At 37.2% G+C, this 19,465-nt stretch overlaps 1 protein-coding gene across 7 annotated transcripts in view; it reads right to left on the reverse strand.

Moving 5' to 3' along the window:
- The window catches only part of FAP (fibroblast activation protein alpha), a 72,762-nt gene that overhangs the window by 23,660 nt on the left and 29,637 nt on the right, over positions 1-19,465 (reverse strand). For 4 of the 7 annotated variants that reach the window (NM_001291807.3, NM_004460.5, XM_011510796.4 and 1 more), the window contains 6 exons: positions 15,609-15,653; positions 8,698-8,802; positions 8,529-8,599; positions 6,223-6,276; positions 4,414-4,538; positions 358-405 (listed from right to left, as the gene is read on the reverse strand). In NM_001291807.3, the coding sequence (NP_001278736.1) occupies positions 358-405; positions 4,414-4,538; positions 6,223-6,276; positions 8,529-8,599; positions 8,698-8,802; positions 15,609-15,653 (448 nt within the window). Of the gene's footprint in view, positions 1-357; positions 406-2,608; positions 3,398-3,835; positions 3,956-4,413; positions 4,539-6,222; positions 6,277-8,528; positions 8,600-8,697; positions 8,803-15,608; positions 15,654-19,465 lie in introns of those variants that run through there. The other 3 variants (XR_001738668.3, XR_922891.3, XM_017003585.3) reach the window with 3 other exon arrangements.

Consider the following 19,465-nt stretch of genomic DNA (forward strand, 5'->3'; position numbering starts at 1 on the left):
AAAACACCCTAGGGATTCTATTTTGGAAGGAAGATCGTACTGAATGTGCTAAGTTTTTTCCCAATTCTAATCTGTGCTTTTTATAAGGCTGATTGGAGAAGATAGAATTAAACCCTCTGATATAACTCATCTATCTGTGTTATGCCAGGTTCTCACTGCAAAGAATTATTAAATTTCATAGGATCATATTTGACCCAAATAATATCCAAATCTGTGCAATAATAAGTGATGTGATAACAGGATTCCATCGCAGTTCCCCTTGGTGGTGTGGAGAAACTGTCCTGCTTTCTCTAGCGGAGCATCACAGAGAGTTCAGGATTACTTGAGACAAGATAGATAACATGCAAGAGAGAGTACCTTGATCAGTGCGTCCATCATGAAGGGTGGAAATGGGGATGCCTGGGCCTGTGGGCAGGATGAAAACAAAATCATGGCTTAGTGTTAAAATAACAATTCCTTTTCAAGACGGGCTGCTGGTAGTATTTGTGATTAGTGTCAAGTGCCAGTACATCTTTTAATTCTGCAGCTATTTTTTTCCCCATAGAGAAGAAAACATCACTTCTAAGTCACATTTAAACAATACATGAGATCAAAGCCCACTCAAAGAACAGCTGTGAAAGAAGCCTTGCCTGTGCACTTTTCCAAGACTAATCCTGAATCATTAATATCGAATTACACAAATGCACCCCAGAAGCTGCAGTGACAAATGGCCTTCTGGGAAGATGTCATGCTGTATTGGGCCAGTTTTGGCTGTGTCTTTATTATCAAACAACCTTCACCAGTACCCAGATTGTATTTTCAATCTGGCTTCTTGGTTCAATGTTCAGCTTATTTAGATGGGTAAAATCGAGTATTTTTTCCATGGAATAATACATGCAGAAATCTACATGGGATATACTTCCTTTTAAAATATGCTGTGGCAGGTCCCTGGGAAGCAGTCTTGGAAGGAGGTTTGTGGGGGTGGTATTGGGATGCACACTTGTGGGGGAAAGGGAGGAAGAATAGGGCAGGGAAGAAAGGTGGATGTCATTGCTGTCACATAGAGACCCCTAGATAGCTTGTAGAGTTGTCTCCAATGGGGCAACAAGGCTGACTTTTACCCCCTAGCATGGAGCTTTACCCCCCTAGCATTGGATGTGGCCCGGGAGAAGAGAAAACTCTTCTCTTCTCCCGGGTTGGGGGGAGGTAGGGTTGGGGGGCGTGCTCAGCTGTAAGTTGTCAGCCACTAGCACTCTCAGTAGCTGAAGAAATGACTGAGTCAGTCCTGAAGATGGGGATGAAGGGATCTGGCTGGCACACCAGTGTCCACTACATATTCCAACATGCATTCAGCTTCTCTATGCAGAAACTGGCCATTTTTAGCAAGATCTACAAATAATTAAAAACAAATTATTCCTTATTTGAAATACAGGATCAAATAATGTCTGGAAATATACCTTTTAAGCATAAATTTGCTCAGTCAGTAGGTTAAAAGCAACAAATGTGGAGGTTGGAGGTACATGTTCATTTGCCACCCCACCCCCCCCAGATAGGGTGAGGATGCTACCTTCTATGTGGAGGGAACCCATTAAAGTAGCATGCTTGGCTCATGCTAAGCAGAGGAGAAATGATTTTTTTGTAGAGTTCTGAGAAGACTTGGGTATGAGTAGCTCCTTCTGTCTTTCTTCTGGCATCTTTCTGCCTGCAGAGAACATGCTTTTGATCCGTTCCTCAGTGCTGTACCTGTGCCAGTGCCAAGCCCCATGGAGGAAGATGGTGGCTGCCCTGTCATACCTATATTTGTGTAAGTATAATTCTGGGATGCAATATTGGGAAACCACACAGCTTTACCACATTTTCCAACTAGCCTTTACAAGTAAAGATAATATTTTGGTTTCCTGCCTGAATCCTAGTCTAATTTGGAAATGAGGAAAAAGGATAGTATTTATTAGGCTCCCTCAAGACTCAAAACTTCCTGTGTGGAATCTCAGAATTTTATAGAATGTTATTGCAGAGATTTTCATTTTGGCCAGTTTTTCATCAAAGTTATGAAAAAGGACAAATACACATATTACATTTTCAGCCAGCATGCAAAGAAATGAGACATGAATATAAATTTCTAGACTCTAATCAACCAGCATCTACCCTGTGGAATTTTCATGAGTGTGTAGTTTCAATAATGGAAACTTGCATATCTTTTTTTTTTTTTTTTTGCCTAAAAAATGAGACAGATAAATGACTGACTGTATTTGACACTGGATGAAGGTGTGATCCTAGTGGCCTAAACATCAGACCTTGAGAAGCCTACCTTGCATGCTTTTGTTCCATCAGCATCATCGATATAATTTTACCTGTTTTGATCCTATCATCTGGGACTTACTAACCATCCCTCGGGAGAGTTTGAAGTTACATAATGAGGCTTTACTCTTAGTCCTGAAGGGAAAGATTTCAAGGTTTTTCCTATGATGGCGCAGTGACTCATTTTACTGGAGCTTCAAAAACACCAGACGATGTGATGCTTCCCACACAGTATATTTTTTGCTAAATGGGAAATTACCATACTGCCGAGGAAGAGTGAGTGGTGGAAAAGTCAGGCGATTCAAGTTCTAGAAAGGACTCTTCCACCAACTTTTGATGAGAGCTTAGGCTTTTATTCTTCATCTCTTCAGTGGGCACACAGGCTCAAGTAGATATTAGGAAGACAACGTAATACAAAATGTGAGATAGTGCCTTCCAAAAACATTAAAGCATTATACAAATGCAGAATGCATACATATATAAATGCATGGATGTAAATGTAGTGTCACTGATGCATTCATCAGCAAATGCATCAGCATAAAACCAGCTTTTTTGGTAGACTGCAAGGGACAGCAATGTTACCTCATATCTATGTTAATTCCACAAACATTGAATGTCTATTATGTATTAGACATTCTTCTTGGTCTTAGAAATACAAAGATTAAAAGAATGTAGCCCCTGCCTTCCAGGAGAAAAAGATAGATAAACAGATGACTCAGTATAGTTAGCTCAATGATACTATGTGCCTGGCATGTAAGCTTTCAATCTATGTTGCATAAATATATAGCTTAGGTTGAAAAATGTTGCATATAACTTGAGAGGGACATTTAATGTATACCTTTAAATGCCAGTAACCACAATCAGCACATATGGTCATGAACAACAATCTCTTGACATTTCAAAGATGCCATTGACCAAACATTTTATGAAAGTGTTATTTCAAACTGACATCTTTGTGCTATCTTCAAGGGAGAATTTGGGTTAAAATGCTTATTCATGTCCACGTAGTCAAATGAGCTGCAGCTCAGGTTCCGGGGCCAGGTGGCTGGACTGAGGGAAGTGGCATGTTAGGGTAGCCTTCATTCTGGTTCCCTTTATGAGATCTTCAGGGCCTCTGCAACTGAATAGGGATATCAAGCAGTCAAAGATTCCATTTGTTCTTTAAGCCACATACCCCTACCAGGGGAGCTGATACCAAAACAGGAGGGTAGCATACATTTTGTAATACCTTTTTCCAAGTACTCTAACTCTCAGCCCCAAATTAGGAATAAGCTGGAGGGAGGTGACAGAGATTGGAGAATTAGAGATTCCCGAGTCAGTTTTCCAAATCTCCATAATGACTACTTAGACCCCAATATATTTCATTGATCTATATTGGCCTCTTAACCTAACCTGTTTTATTGTTTGCCACATGCTCAAGATATAGATAAAAGGTTGCACATAAAATAAAATTATATGGGTAGAAATTATTCATTAAATGTACGTATGTCCTAAACAACCAGGAAATGTTTTGTAGATTTTATTACTTATGGTTTGTTATATTTGATGCATTACTTACGATGTTTTCCAAATTTAGAAAGGACAAAGGTTCATCTTCTATCCCCATTGAAACTACAGTTTGAGGAATGATTGACCTCCGACGTGGGCATCTCGGGTTTCCAAGCCGTTGTTCATTCCCCTGGATGTGAGAGTTTGATATTTCTCTGGGCAAAGGGGGCCAAAAGTCCAGCAACCATTTTATCAGAGAACATTTCTTTTTCTGCGATTGCTCAGGTCTTGCGAAGCCTAGCTGACGGGTTGCCTCTGCACGCAGTCTTAGTGCTGTGGAATGTGGTGGTTAAGAGCATGGGACTTAGAGGCAACAGCACTTGCTTCAGTCCTGGCTGATGCTTAGCTGCAGTGCGGACCTTTTGGCAAGTTACCCTGTTTCCCCAAACTCTGTTTCCTCAGTTGCAAAAAAGTAAAGATAATAATACCTTCCTATCCTCCTTTAATTTTTTTTCTATAAGCACAAGATAAGATTCTTACATATAACAAATGCTCATTAACTGTAGCTACGAATTGATCAGATAGAGGTGAGGAGGATGACAACCATGCCTGTGGGGATGCTGTGCTTATGTGAGGTCCGTTACCTACCGTAGCAGACAAGTGCATAGTACTTGGCGTAGTCGCTGAAACTTGCTGTGTAATATTGGCACCTTTCTTTCCTTAGATGGCAAGTAACACACTTCTTGCTTGGAGGATAGCTTCCAATGCTAATTCTAGAGGGAAATGAAAATAAAACTAAGCTGAAATTTTGAGATTGTATTTATCAAAATGTACTACTCCATGTAAAGTGACTAATTTACATATTGACATCAAACCCACTCTATTTTTCTGTTGCCAATATCATTTAAAGTAAAGGGGAATCACAGTATTTTGATGTAGCTTGATTTTTGATCCATCTTTGCCTTAATAGGCACAAACCTTGAGGAAGAAGCCCTATGTGGTTTCCCTGGAGTGGGAGAAATATCTAACACCTCAAATGGCAGTGAGGTAGTCACTTCCCATAACCATTCATCTCTTACACTTCACAAAGTGCTTGGGAATGCATAGTTCTTCGTCTTTCTATCTCTCTGTTTCCACCCCATGGCAAAACATAGCAAGAAAATCTGGCAGTATCACCAAGAAAGAGTCCCTGTTCTTACCATATATCAGGATGGGGAAATTAATAATAAGCAAATTGGAAATAAGAAATTACAGTTCTAAGTGCCTTCTGCGCCTTCATTCCTTTCAGCAGGAAATTTGGGCTCATGGAAGCTCAGGCTGGGAATGCCCCCTCCACACAGTCTACACAAGCCAATCTGCACTGCCCACATTGGCCCTACACTCACCCTGCAGAGTCATCTGTGTGGTTCCTGAGCAGGGTGATTGGCTTCAATACACAGACTCAGGGACCTTATCCGACACCCTCAGAATCAGAATTCCATGTGGAGGAGTTTAGAGGATGTCATGCCAGGGTCTGGACAGGTCAGGACCCCATGGTGCCTGTCAGGGTCTCCTGTGCCAACCTGTGAGTTTCTTCTGCTGCTGTCCCTGACTTTGCCTTGGGCATGGCAGAGAATGGCCAGGCCAGAGACACTGCTGGACCCAGAGAGTGATTCTTTTTAACACATAAAGTAAGATCACGATCCAGGAGGGAACAGGGGAATATGACAGAGGGAAAATTTCTTATTTCCTCTGTTAGGGTTAGTATGTTAACATATGTCCCTATTCGGGTGGAACTTTGGAAACATTAGGGAGGCAGTTAACAGCAAGGGCTCAGAGATCAGCATGCCCAGGTACAAATCCTGGCTCCAACAACATTACCTGCTTCATAGTGCTGTTGGAATTAAATGAAATTACATATGTAAGTCAGATTAAAAGGTGCCTGGCATATAATAGACTACCAGCATGTAGTAACTATTGCTTTCCTTTCCACACCCAGAAAGGGCTGTCGAGGGCACCATTTCAGTCCTCAAGGGAACAACTGGACTGAATGTAAACACTAATATAGGAACAGACATGGGTGGTGCCAAAGTGAGACAGAGTGAAGGAAATCACATATTATCAGAATAAAAACAATGCCTGGTTCATACTAGGTACTCAACAAATGTGTGTTAAATAAAGAAATGTCCTCAATTACCTCTATATGTACTTAAAGTGTTTAGTACCAGAATAGTATTTAGTATTCATGTAAACATTAGAATTTCTTGTTTTTTCCTTTTGAAAACAAATATTTTGAATTGGCTAACATTTTGCGAGTGTGTGTTTTTTATACCCATTCTCCAAATGTTTTCTCTAAATTCATAAATGATTTTTATTATGTGCCATACTTTAAAAATATTTTGCATCTCCTGGGGATGATGACTTTTTATATTAAAATATCAACACATAGAAATACCAGAATGAATGGACATAAATTACCTGTAGATGTTTCTTCTTCCAGGGTATTCTTCAAATTCATTGCTAGAATAAAACCTGAAAATATATTCAGAAATTATTAAGTATTGATAAATAAGTGATAATAGGATTGTTAGTATTAATACTAATATAGTATCAATATAGGTAAGCATTTATCTAATGAAACAATTAATTGGTGCTTAAGTACACAAATAACTGCTGTTCATAACTGAACTTTGCACATTTATCCTGGCTTCCAAATCATCAGAGGAAGATTAAATTATGCTGAATACTGTTTTTATTATATTATATTCTGATTCATTATGAGTCATGCAAAATCAACTAGGAAATTTTATTAATATCATACCTTGACTTTTTTATGATTAAGAACAGTTTACCTGTTTCTCTGTACTACGTTATTTAATTTTATCTGGGATTCTGAACACACCTTGAATTTATTTTATAGAAGCCCTGTCAATAGATGGGTTTGCTACAAATTGAGGATATCACACTGGATACCACACACAGGGCATGTCAATTTAGCCAGATGCAAAAGAAGTCATAAGAGAACATGCTTTTACTTAAGTATCCAGGTTCTGATTCCAACCTGTCTTAAAATAGCCATGAAGTGGGAAATTCAGTTTCATGACATGGTTTTCACTCTGCTGTATGTTCATCTGAGTATCAGAAACTGTCATTATTTTTCCCCCACGAATGTGAAAAGTTTGGGATAACCGAAGTTTGGTTGAATTCTTAGGACAATTAGGCAGTCCAGTTCTCACTATGTCCCAGGTATCATGAAAATCTTATTAGCACCAAGTAGAAGAAAAAAGCAATGGAATACAACTCGTTTTTAGCACGAAATTTATTTCCTAAACTAACACCTTTCTATGCATCTTTATAACTTTGCATGACTCCCATCATCCCTTTTCCTTGCCCTCCCCACATCATCTAAAACTATCTGTGAATAAAGGACTCAGGATCTTTCCCCAACAGCCCCCGGCCACTTCCTTGTTATGTGGAAGCTTCCCTGATTGTCTCCCTCTCTAACCCTTGCAGCCAGGTCCAGTTTGTCTCTTTTCTCTCTCTTTTTCCTGACAGTCTCCCTTCACCAGTCCTGTTTAGCCTCCATCTGTTTTTACCATCTACTCTGTTCTCTCTTCCATTTAGAGAATGTGTATTGAACTACTCTGTGTCAGGCGCTGTGCTAAGTGCTAAGGACGCAAACAAAGAAGGAGGTGCAGTTTTGTCCTCAGAGCATCTATTACATTGCCACTCTTCTAGTTCAGGCCTCTTATGACCAGAGCTAGGGACCTCCGCCTTCAGTTTTTCCCCACCTCCTCAACACATCATGCCTGAAATGAATCTCCCACCTGTTTTGAACATGTCACTCCCCTTTACTCTAGTGATTTTAATGACTGCTCCAAAGAAAGTCCAAACACCTTTGCCCTCCATTCAAAGAATTCCAAAGATTCGTAATAGATTTCCGACAGGCTTTTATTCCATGAGCCTGGACTAATGGTCCTCATCTTTTTGCTCCTAGAATTTCAGCTAATAGCTGGCAGATTTTCAGCACTAAGAGAGGATCCCTAGATGCAGACTGTATTAGAAATTATAGAAAGAAAGTATACTTTTGTGATTAGATCAGTTTTATCATAAATGATTATTTGAAGATGGTTTATTTAAATAGTATGCAGAATGGACTGAAGAGGAAAGAACTGTAAGAAAGCAGTCCCATGTTCAGGTTGATAATAACAGCCTTAGATTTAATGCTTTAGGATTGAATCCTAGTCTGCTACTAACTAACTGTGGCCTTTGGCCAAGTTAATTAAATTTTATGAGTATCCCTTTTCTCATCTGCAAACTTAGGATAATCATTTCTACTTTACAGTATCTGGTACACAGTAATTGCTCCATAAATGACAGTTGTTATAAATAATAATGTTAAACTTATATAACAATGAATCACTACAAAAGATGCTCCATATCTATGGGCTGCCCTCCAGGGAATTTTGAAACTTGTTCATTGCTTCAAGTGCTGAAGGGTAAAATTTGCCTTTAGAACGAGTTATTATCTTAAAATTTGTATACTTTTTATATAATTGCCTACCAAATATCAGAAGAGAAATTATCACCTACTGAAGGCTTTTTTCCAAAAGGAAATCATTTTGACTAGTTATTAAAAATGTGCAATCGTAAATGAACTCACAACTGTCTGAATTATAGAGTAACAAAAATCTTCTTAACTAAGAGAGTTGGTACAGTATCATTTATGTCCATCGGTGCCAATTAAAACCTGAATGGTGCATCGTGCTTCGTGCAATACTTACAGTGAATCCTGTGTTACTCTGAATATATTTATGGCCTCCCACTTGCCACTTGTAATTTGAATAGCATTTTCCTATAAAAAGACAAACATTATGTTGTGTGAAACTGAGCGTTATTTGAGCAACCTCAAGTGAATGATCTTTGAGGAGATAAATCTTGGAAGGAACGTACCACAGTGTCTTTGATATAGTGAATATGTTTGTAGCCATCCTTGTCACTAAATATTTTGTAGTACGAAATGGCATCATAGCTGAAAACTGGTGTTGAAACAAAGAACTGAAAAAAATTAGCAGAGGTTATGTTCAAAAGACAAACCAAACTAAAACCATAGATTTTGTTTTAATATATAAAAGCGACGTATGGTCATAGTTATAGGAATCAGAATGTCTCGCCTCCTCTGTCTTCTGTCATTCACATCTGAAATCCCATTCTTTCAGATAAACAGCTTATGTAGTGATTCTGACAGGCACTTGAACATTCCGACCACTGCTTGGCTGCTACTGCATACCCCTGGATTTACAATGCTTAATTTGATTAAATTCCTAAGTCGAAGGTTATGTGGTTTGAAACGGAGTTAAAAGAATCACAAACGCATGTTGATATTTAACGAAACCAAACCTAAAATGAGGTATTTGACCAAAGTCTGATGCTCATTGACTATACCTCTTTTAATTCTTGATTTGTCTGATGCCAAGCATGCAATATCAATGATTCAATGAAGACATTTAAAAGATGAAAAGATCATGGCTTGCTAGCCACAGTTTTTAATGGTGAGGAGGGGCTTCTGGACTTGAGAGAAAAAAGTTGCCTATGTTGGGGGAGGTTTACTCCTTGAGCACAGGAAGCCGACTGCAGACTGACCTCAATGCCCTGGTTTGACCTCTAACAGGTAACCCCATGCAGAACTTGCTGGGAACCAATTAACTACCTAAGGTACGCTAGGCTCTTTAGTGTGCCTTGAAACAGAACAAGCCACACCTCAACATTCTAAATGATAGATATAACTGAAATTCTGCAAATGTTCTTACACCAAATTTTAGAAAATAGTTTCGTATTTTTCCCATTAAAAAATTAATTGACTTGTCTTACATTTGCTGACTTTTTTTCCCCATTGGTCATTGTTTGGTGAAATGATGGCAAATCATTAAAAGAATTCCATGAGGAAAGAGCTACTCTACATCATGCAGAGCAGATTTAAAGCCAGCTCTCTCTAGTTGGTGTCCCTCCACATGAGAACTGCATCAAGCAACAACAACAAAAAGCTACTAGTATCTTTTAGCTACAAAGACCTATCCTGGTGAGACCTAATGTGAGACCCATTGTAGAGCAAGAAAAGAGTGGAGGAAGTCACTGTAGGCTCCTTTAATGATGACCTCATATTTGATGCCTTTTTGATGCAACCGATCATTATTTCTCATGAAATAATTATAACTGTGTGACATTAAAATGCAACTAATTTGATGTGATGTCTTTAGTGGACTGAGTTCCCCAAAAATTCATGTCCACGTGGAGCCACAGAATGTGACCCTTTTGGAAATGGGGTCTTCGCAGATGTAATCAAGGGAGAAAGTAAAGATGTGTATTAAAGAGGGCCCTAACTCTAATGACTGCTGTCCTCATAGGTGGGGAGGACACAAAGAGACACTGAGAGATACAGGGAAGAAGACTATGTGAAGACAGAAGCAGGGATTAAAGTGATACGGCTGTTAAACAAACAATGCTCAGGGATTTCTAGGAGCCATGAGAAGCTGGAAGAGACAGGGAGGATTCTTCTCTTGAGTCTTCATAGGGAGCACGACTCTGCTGACACCATGATTTCCGACTTCCAGCTTTCAGAATGGCGAGAGAATAAATTTCTGTTGTTTTAAGCCACAAAGTTTGCCATAACTTATAGCAGCCCTAGGAAACTAATACAGTGCCCTAAGTCTCACCACATTTACCTAGAATCAATAAATCAGTCAAATCAAATAAGCAGAAGGCCATTAACCTGAGGCTGTCTCTATAATTTGAGTTCCTATATAATGAAACACAACCTTAGTACATATACAAACCAAAACCTAACTACGAGTCCAGCAAAAGGGTTTCAGCCAATCATAGGCAGCCATCATATCACACCACATCCAAATAAGGTAGATGCCTCATCACTCTATGACCCAATGAGGCCGACTCCTAGTGTAGCCAACCAGTGGTTTATCTACCTTGCTTCTGCGTTTGGCCTATAAAAGGTGGCTGCTCACATTGCTGGGCAGAACTCTCAGAACATCTTCTGGTTCTGAGTGCTGCCTGATTTATGAATTGTTTTTGTTCAAATAAACTCTACTACTTTTAACTTGTCTAAAGTTTTCTTTAAAATGAAAAAATGGAATAATGAGAAACAGCTGCCTCTACATGATTCCTACATTAGTTTCATTAATAATAAGACCAACCTTGGTAGGATTTTGCATATTGAGACTAATGCTTCCAAGTGAAATTAATAACCAAGAGGCCCAGGAATAGGAAACTCTGATTAACAATTTTGTGGGTAAAATTTTATTACTATAAGTCTTTGACAAAATCCTTCTTTCATTTCAGAATGAAGTTTCACCCTCTTAGCTAAATGATAATATACATACTTAATAGTAACCTCTTATAATGTCTCCCTTTTTTTTATTTTTTTATTTTTTATGGAGTTTCGTTCTTGTTGCCCAGGCTGGAGTGCAAATAGCGTGGTCTTGGCTCATCACAACCTCTGTCGCCCGGGCACAAGTGATTCTCCTGCCTCAGCCTCCCAAGTAGCTGGGATTACAGGCATGCACCACCACCCCCGGCTAGTTTTATATTTTTAGTAGAGATGAGGTTTCACCATGTTGGTCAGGCTGGTCTCGAACTCCTGACCTCAGGTGATCCACCCGCCTTGGCCTCCCAAAGTGCTAGGATTAAGGTGTGAGCCACTGTACCCGGCCTATGTCTCCTTCTTATTCCTCATTGTGAAACACAAAAATTGGTTCTACATTGCCTTAATCACTAAAATAAAACCTGAATCACAACATTTTTAAGGTACCACAGTAAAAAGAAAAATTGTCTGCAAGCTGCAGTCAGTTAGATAAGGGACTTTTTAAAGGGCTTTGTTCTAGATTAAAACTTAGCATCTCATTTTTATTGAAAATAAAAAAAACAGGGCAGAGTGTTATGTTTTAAGATATTAGAATCAGGCAAACAGGAAGAATATTTCTGATAAGCAAAGACTGTTATCTTCTCCCCTTTCATTGCACACATTGAAGACAGCTGCTTTAGATGAACAGGTAACTTGGGTGAGGTAAAGAGAGTGTGAAATATGTCCACATTCATTTTGCTAGAGTTAGGCCCATAAAGTGTTCTGAGTTAAGTGCTTCTTGCAAGTCACACCTGGACCCTAGATAAGCACCCACACCAAGTTGTCCTCAGTTTTAATGAGGCCCTTACACTGGTTTCTTTATTATGCTTAGATTTTCTGATAGATTACTCATCTCTATATGAAGTGCAAAGCCATTTAAAATATTTTACCTGGAAGGTGACATTATTTACCGCCATGTAATATCTTGCCATAGCTGTTAAATGACCTAAAGCGGATGCCCTAAACTGAGTGCACATTCGGTCAAAAGCACAAGCTTTCAAGCATCAAGAAGAAAATTCATTTTTTTTTGAACCAAGGGATTTTGCCAGCCGCCTAAAGACGGTGTAGTGTGTTGCTTAAATTATTTTAAAATAATTGATGTGACTTTGCAGTCTAAGCATGATGCCTTCAGTGCTTGTTCTCCAAATTTAAGGAATGAAGCACTAGTTTCCTTTGATTAACTCTTCACTTTTCTGTCCTCTACAGAGCAAAACAAAACAAACATGTTTTAAAAGCAATTTTGTTATTTTTTCTGATTAATACCAAAAAAGAAGTTAGGTTATTAATCCTAACTTAAAGGACTGGATGTGTCAGTGCTGGAGGAAAAAAGTGGTAAGTAAAGTTCGCAGGAAACCTATTTTCTAGTTCTGTGCCTGCAACTAACAGATCATTTACTTTTAGCAAGTCATTTAATCTCCCTTTTCTAATTCATAGGTGATTTCTGAGAGTCTTTTTCCATTTTAAATATCTCTGACAAACTCAAAAGAAACCATATATCAAAAATAGCTTTTAAAATTTATACTAATACGACTAGCTTGTATACTTTATCTAAAGACCCTATAAATGTTACTTGAATGAATGTCTGAAATACATACACATTTCTAGTTTTTTCTGGTTAATTTTATTAAGTCACTAGTTTCATTATAGGTCAAAGGAAGCTATTAAATATACAATATATTATGAAATATGAGTTATGGCTATATAAAATTGTGGCCAGACTTTTTCAAAAGGCATGTCAGAACTTACAAAAGCTAATTAATAATCCATTTAAAGCAGGTGCCTTGGGAGAGTGTAAACTGACTCTTGAAAACAATCATTGCAAATAATTTTTGATAATTTCTCTTCTGGAATTTAGAAGTTTTACTGACTACTGAATACATGTTAAGAGATTGAGATTAGTACATAAAAATAAGTTGTTCCCAATAGAATTATAAAACTATGAATATTAAAATGATCTGGCACAAAATCACATGTCCCAGATAAGTAACTCATTTACTCTCTAGATTTAGTTGGGAATGACTTTTGATTTAATATAAGGACCTCATCTTCTCCCAAAGGAGAGGTATGTGCCTCAACTGAGGGTATTTTTTTAAAAAAGTTCTACAGCTGGGCTGGGCGCGGTGGCTCATGCCATTTAGTTGGGAATGATTTTTGATTTAATGTAAGGACCTCATCTTCTCTCAAAGGAGACATATGTGCCTCCACTGAGGGCATTTTTTTTTTTTTTGAGACAGAGTCTCGCTCTGTCGCCCAAGCCAGAGTGCAGTGGCGCGATCTCTGCTCACTGCAAGCTCCGCCTCCCAGGTTCACGCCATTCTCTTGCCTCAGCCTCCTGAGTAGCTGGGACTACAGGCGCCCGCCACCATGCCCGGCTAATTTTTTTGTATTTTTAGTAGACGGGGTTTCACAGTGTTAGCCAGGATGGTCTCGATCTCCTGACACTGAGGGTGTTTTTTAAAAAAGTTCTACAGCTGGGCCAGGGGCGGTGGCTCATGCCTGTAATCCCAACTCTTTGGGAGGCCGAGGCAGGCGGATCACGAGGTCAAGAGATTGAGACCATCTTGGCTAACACGGTGAAACCCCGTCTCTATTAAAAATACAAAAATTAGCTGGGCGTGATGGTGGGCGCCTGCAATCCCGGCTACTAAGGAGGCTGAGGCAGGAGAATCGCTTGAACCCGGGAGGCGGAGCTTGCAGTGAGCCGAGATCGCGCCACTGCACTCCAGCCTGGCAACAGAGTGAGATTCCGTCTTAAAAAAAAAAAAAAGGTCTAAAGCTTTGCAGGCAATTCATTCATTCATTCAGCTCAATTTGATGGGAATGCAAGTTTAGTGCAATACAGATTTTTTAAATTATTAAGATACTGAAGATGCTTATAAATATGAGCTTTCAAAAGATGCATTCTAAAGTGTTTCAGTGTTTTGAACACTGCAGCATTGTCAAAATAAATGTTTATAGATGCTCAAGATAATGTCTTTGAAAGGGTTGTTGGTATCATTGTTGATATAAAAGTACATTATTCATATAACTGTATAGTAAATCTAGTTATAGTATCATCTTGGAGAACATGACTAAATAATATTTTCAAGCATTCTTTCTTCCCTTCGTTCTTTACTAGAAATATTTGTAATGGGAGTGAATTGGTAGATTTTTTTTCCTCAAAATTTCAAATACCGATCTAAGAATTACCTTTCTGAAAGGTGAGATTCAGATTGATTAAGAATACATAAAATTTAGAGAATACTTTTCTTTCACTGAATACTACTACTCTTTTTTTCCTGTGATATTTAGGACAGTAGGAAAAGTGAGTTCAAATAGGAGGGTTTTTTTTTTTTTCTGAATTACATACTTATCTTTATTATCTTGTTACCTCAGAGTGTAATTTACATTTATTGTATATAATAAATAAAGTAACTATTCCCTAGTTAATGAATAAAACTGCAGTATCTTTAATTAACGGCAGAGTATAAATTAAACAGCATGTAAGCCAAAATCAACTGGATCCAGAAAAGTGTACAATGAAGAGTTTTTAATATTTGAAGATTATCACTTTACAGTTTATCTTCTTCCCAGCCAATTTGAGTTTAAATTTTTATATAATTTATCATCTTAGAATCGATTTCTGACTTTTTTTTGTCCTTGGATCATGGGCTAATGTGTTAAACCAGGTCCTAAGAGTTTCCTTTTTCATTGCATAATGCGTCCAAATCTTAGAGAAGTAGCCTTTCCTCTTCAAATACTAATTGAATTGAATTATGTGTTTGTGGTAAGTGGCAGCATCTACCAACCTTCACTTATTCTCTTGTATTAATTTTTATTCTTCATATACGATATAAAATACAATTGCTATTTACCTCAAGCGTTATTTTACATTAAAAATCCTCATAAATTATTGAATAAACCTATCCTAAACTTCCAAATATAAATGATCACAAGTAACAAACACACATTTTCCTATTTGATACCAAATCATTACTTAAATACTGGAAGGAGTATACATACATGAAATTTAGTACATGTTATATGAAATTTAATAAGAGGTAGATTGTCTTTAAATTACAAGGATACCCAATGTATTTTTTTTTGGATTTAAATGGCTAGTAATTATTAAGATGATTTTAACAGATCAGGGATTTTGTCTCCTTTTGAACAATGATCTATATTGTATTTGTTTAAAAAGTAATATTAGTTATAGATACCAAGGATTCAGTTGACAAACTTAAAATTGGGACATGAGGAGTATGAGTTATTTTCAATAGAATTCTAAAAAGGACATTGAAATTGTCCGGCACAAAATCACTCAAGAGATCACTACCTATGTGTTTTATACCTTGCTACTTTTTCTATGAAAATAAGTAGTGCCAGTTTGGGTACATTGCAAATAGTCCTTTGATAGCTGAGAATCTGTCAAGTTTCATTAAAACATAAGAAAAAGATAGCAAAATCATACTCCACCAGCCCATCCAGTTCTGCTTTCTTCTATATGCTCCTGGGTCTAAAAGACAAAAGATCACATCGAACATAGTATTAGGAGAACATTTTTTTCCTAAATGTAATCTGGACATTTGGAAACAGTTAAGCTGCCTGATCAGAGTATACCATTACTAGTCAACTAACTTCAAATTTGAGTTTAAAAGGACAATATTAAAAATCTCATATAACAGCACTGTTGTATATACATGGGTAATTTTATTGCAGATCCTTAATAATTATGCCTAAATCTTCCATGAGGCAGTGACTTGGAATTATCACAACATCTATGGAGGCCCAGCACAATCCACTTGATGTGGTGTAGGTAAAACAGTGGAGTTTGAGTTAAATTCTTTCTTTTCTGGGTCCTATGAAGTAGCTAAAATTTTAAAATTTGCACTGAATCTTATTTTGGGTTATATTTTAGCATAATGTAATTGATCATTTACTGAACAAACATTTAGTAATCCTAAAAGAATGAATAGACTTTTCTAGACAAATAATTAGAAAAAGAAGAACATTCTAGGTAAAATAAATAGCATAGAGACCAGACCTGCTTAGTCACCCAACAGATGGTTCAGTATGGCTGAGTGGAGAGTGACTACAGGAAAGAGTTAGAAGATGAAGGAGAATGCATGTTTATGAGCAAGATTTTGGAGAAACTTTATGGCACCCTAAGAAGTTTCAATTTCTCCTGTTTGGTAAGTCTTTTGAAGGTCTTCCAATTCACAATTTGGAACATATAATTATGAACATGATGCAGAGGATATACTAGAAGTGGGTAAGAGGGAAGGAGGCAGAGAGACCAACTGGAAGGCTATTATAATGTTTGGGAAAAGAATGATAAAGACTCTAATCAAGCTCATGGCAGTGAGAATAGAACAGAGAAAATGAAGCCACACATATTGAAAAGTTCAAATCCTCAGAAATAAGTCTGAGAGTTATTGGCAAGTATACCAAAAAGCTCTGGTATAGATTAAAATTACCCAAAGTGAGTAAGTACAGAGTTGAGACAGACAGCAGGATAATCAGCAGACCATTTCCTCTTTTTGCTAGGGATACGGGCAGGAAATGTATTTCCCAGCCTTCCTTCAGTTGACCGTGGTTATTTGATAAGTTCTAGTCAATGGTGTGTGAACAGAAATAACTCATGCTACTTTTAGGCCTAGCCCATAAAAGCCTCTCTTACATTACCCTTCATTCTTTTCTCCATCCCTCAGCTGGATGTTGATGCTCAGGTTTGACCAACTTTGGAATAGTGTTGGAAGCTAGTTAGCAGAAATGCCATCACCTAGGTTCCCGAATGACTATATGAAGCAGAGTGCACCATTCCCCAACCCCCACCATACCCCACTTACCTGGACTCACTATTGGATGGTTACATGAATGTGCAATAAATTTCTACTGTATTAACCCACTGAATTATTGGAGGTTTTTATGTTGTTGTTATAGCAGTTAGCCTACCTTGCAAATACATTAACTTGGAGAATAATAAGATTTCTAGAGAAGTCAGAAGAAGAGCTGGAAAGGAAAAGAACAGTCAATGAAGCAGAAGGAGAACCATGAGAGGGTGTACTGTCATAAAAGGCAGGGGAATAACAAATTTTAAGAACACAGTCTGGATTTTCTCTTACAGGGATAGACCAATGCCTCAGAGAGAACAAGTAAGATAAGACTCGGAAAAAATAGTGAAATTTTTGGATTTATTATTTTTAGCCATAAAAGTAAAATTAATTTTAATTCCCTTTTCAGAGGAGGAAGCATAATATAAAAGATGTTTCTTCCCCTAACTATAAATTTCTTAATAAATCTCACTAATATAATTTTATTACAAGTCATTTTTGCCAGTTTCCTTTGCCTCTTTGTTTGGGGCATGACTCTCAGCATGAATAAAATGTTGCCGGGTCACTTAACCTTAAATATTGTTTTCAAAGTGTGTGCGCACACACACACACACATCAGTCATGAGGATGGTTTCTGGGAAATTCGACACTGTTGTTCTCAAATCTCAAAATGTGTTGCATGTATTTATCAAACTATTTTGAAACAGAGGTGTTTAGAAATTCTAAGGTTATTCAAACATGATATTCTAAATTTAAGCACTGTTTTCTGGCTGTAAAACTAAAGTTTATATTCCAGGGACTTCCACACCTCATTGAATGAGCATCTTAAATGTTCTGTCAGTTTGGATTAAAGTTGTCTCAGATTTTGATAAATTAGAATTTCAGATTTCAAAGCAATCACAGTTTTAAAATTCCTAGTTTTAGGAGCTAAAAATTGTGTCTAAATTATAAATCTCATTATGTTCAAACTAATAAAATTAAAGCAATAGTCCCTAATAGCTAGATTCATTGAAAAGTTTAAAGATATAGTCACCCAAAGCTGACTAACCAGACCAATTGTTTCTAATTAACTAGCATAATCAAGATTAGTCTATCCTTTCTTTGCCTATGATACTGTATTAAAGCCAAAATCATCCTGCTTTGTATATCAAAATATATATAAGATAAAAATACGCTTCTAGCATATTCCATCAAAATTAGTCGAGCCTCTCACAGACACAGTAGTGATTTAAAGAAATATTTTTAGCCTGAGTAATGTTGACTATTATAGTCCTGATATATTTCCAAACAGACTCATATGACTTTTTTCTTGCAAAACATAATGTCCTAATTTCTAGATGAAATTTAGTGATTTACTTTGTTTGTTCTGTGCTTTTCTTTTTACTTTATAAAATATGATTATTCTATATTTGTTTTAATGAAACATTTCTTCATAATTAGAAGACTCACAAAATGTACCCATCAAATATCCTATTTAAAGAAAATATTTTGTATCTCTTAGATTCTAATGTGAGTAATTAAGAACAGGCTTATTTTAAAGCTTATACATTGGTTAAGTGGTTTTTCTGACTCATTAATTCAACAGATTATGTTTGAGTTTGAGTAATAGAAACAATTAAAACTCAACAATAAATCTGTGCTTAGTTTTAAAGGCTTTTTCTGCCCAAAATTAGTACATGTCGGGTACTGTCCTAAGATAACCAGGTAACAGAATAATTTGATCTAATATCTTATGTCACATTCTCAGTAATTCTCATTTGATTTTAAAATAAAAATATTTGGGCTGGGTGCAGTGGCTCATGCCTGTAATCCCAGTACTTTGGGAGGCTGAGGCGGGTGGATCATGAGGTCAAGAGATTGAGACCATCCTGGCCAACATGGTGAAACCCCGTGTCTACTAAAAATAAAAAAATTAGCTGGGCCTAGTGGTGCACACCTGTAGTCCCAGCTACTCAGGAGACTGAGGCAGGAGAATCGCCTGAACCTGGGAGACGGAGGTTGCAGTGAGTCCAGATTGCGCCACTGCACTCCAGCCTGGCGACAGAGCGAGACGCCATCTCAAAAAAAAAACAAAAAACAAAAAAACAAACAAAAAAAACAAAAAACAAACAAAAAAAAAAACAGAATATCTGGCTTTCTTTTGATAATATCCATTTCCTTTAGAATTTTTAATTTTTAATTTTTAACATTGAATAGAACATGCCCCATTTGCATTTCTTCTCTGGTTCTTTTGTTTAAAACATATATATTTATCTAGTAGACCCATGTTTCGGTTTCATCTGCATTATTTTGCTTTTTATTGGACTGCCAATGTTATAATCTCAAAGGGCTGGTTTACCATTATAATTGAGAACCAGATATCTGATTTTCCCAATGTCATGTTGTCCCATTTTTTCTTTTTGGCTATTCAATTTCAAGGTTTACGTCATTCAAGAAAATAAAAGGTATCCTATTTATTTAATAAAATGATGGACCCATGAATACTGAGTGTGTT

This window comes from Homo sapiens, chromosome 2, assembly GCF_000001405.40.
Source record: "Homo sapiens chromosome 2, GRCh38.p14 Primary Assembly".
Taxonomy (NCBI): Eukaryota; Metazoa; Chordata; class Mammalia; order Primates; family Hominidae; genus Homo; species Homo sapiens.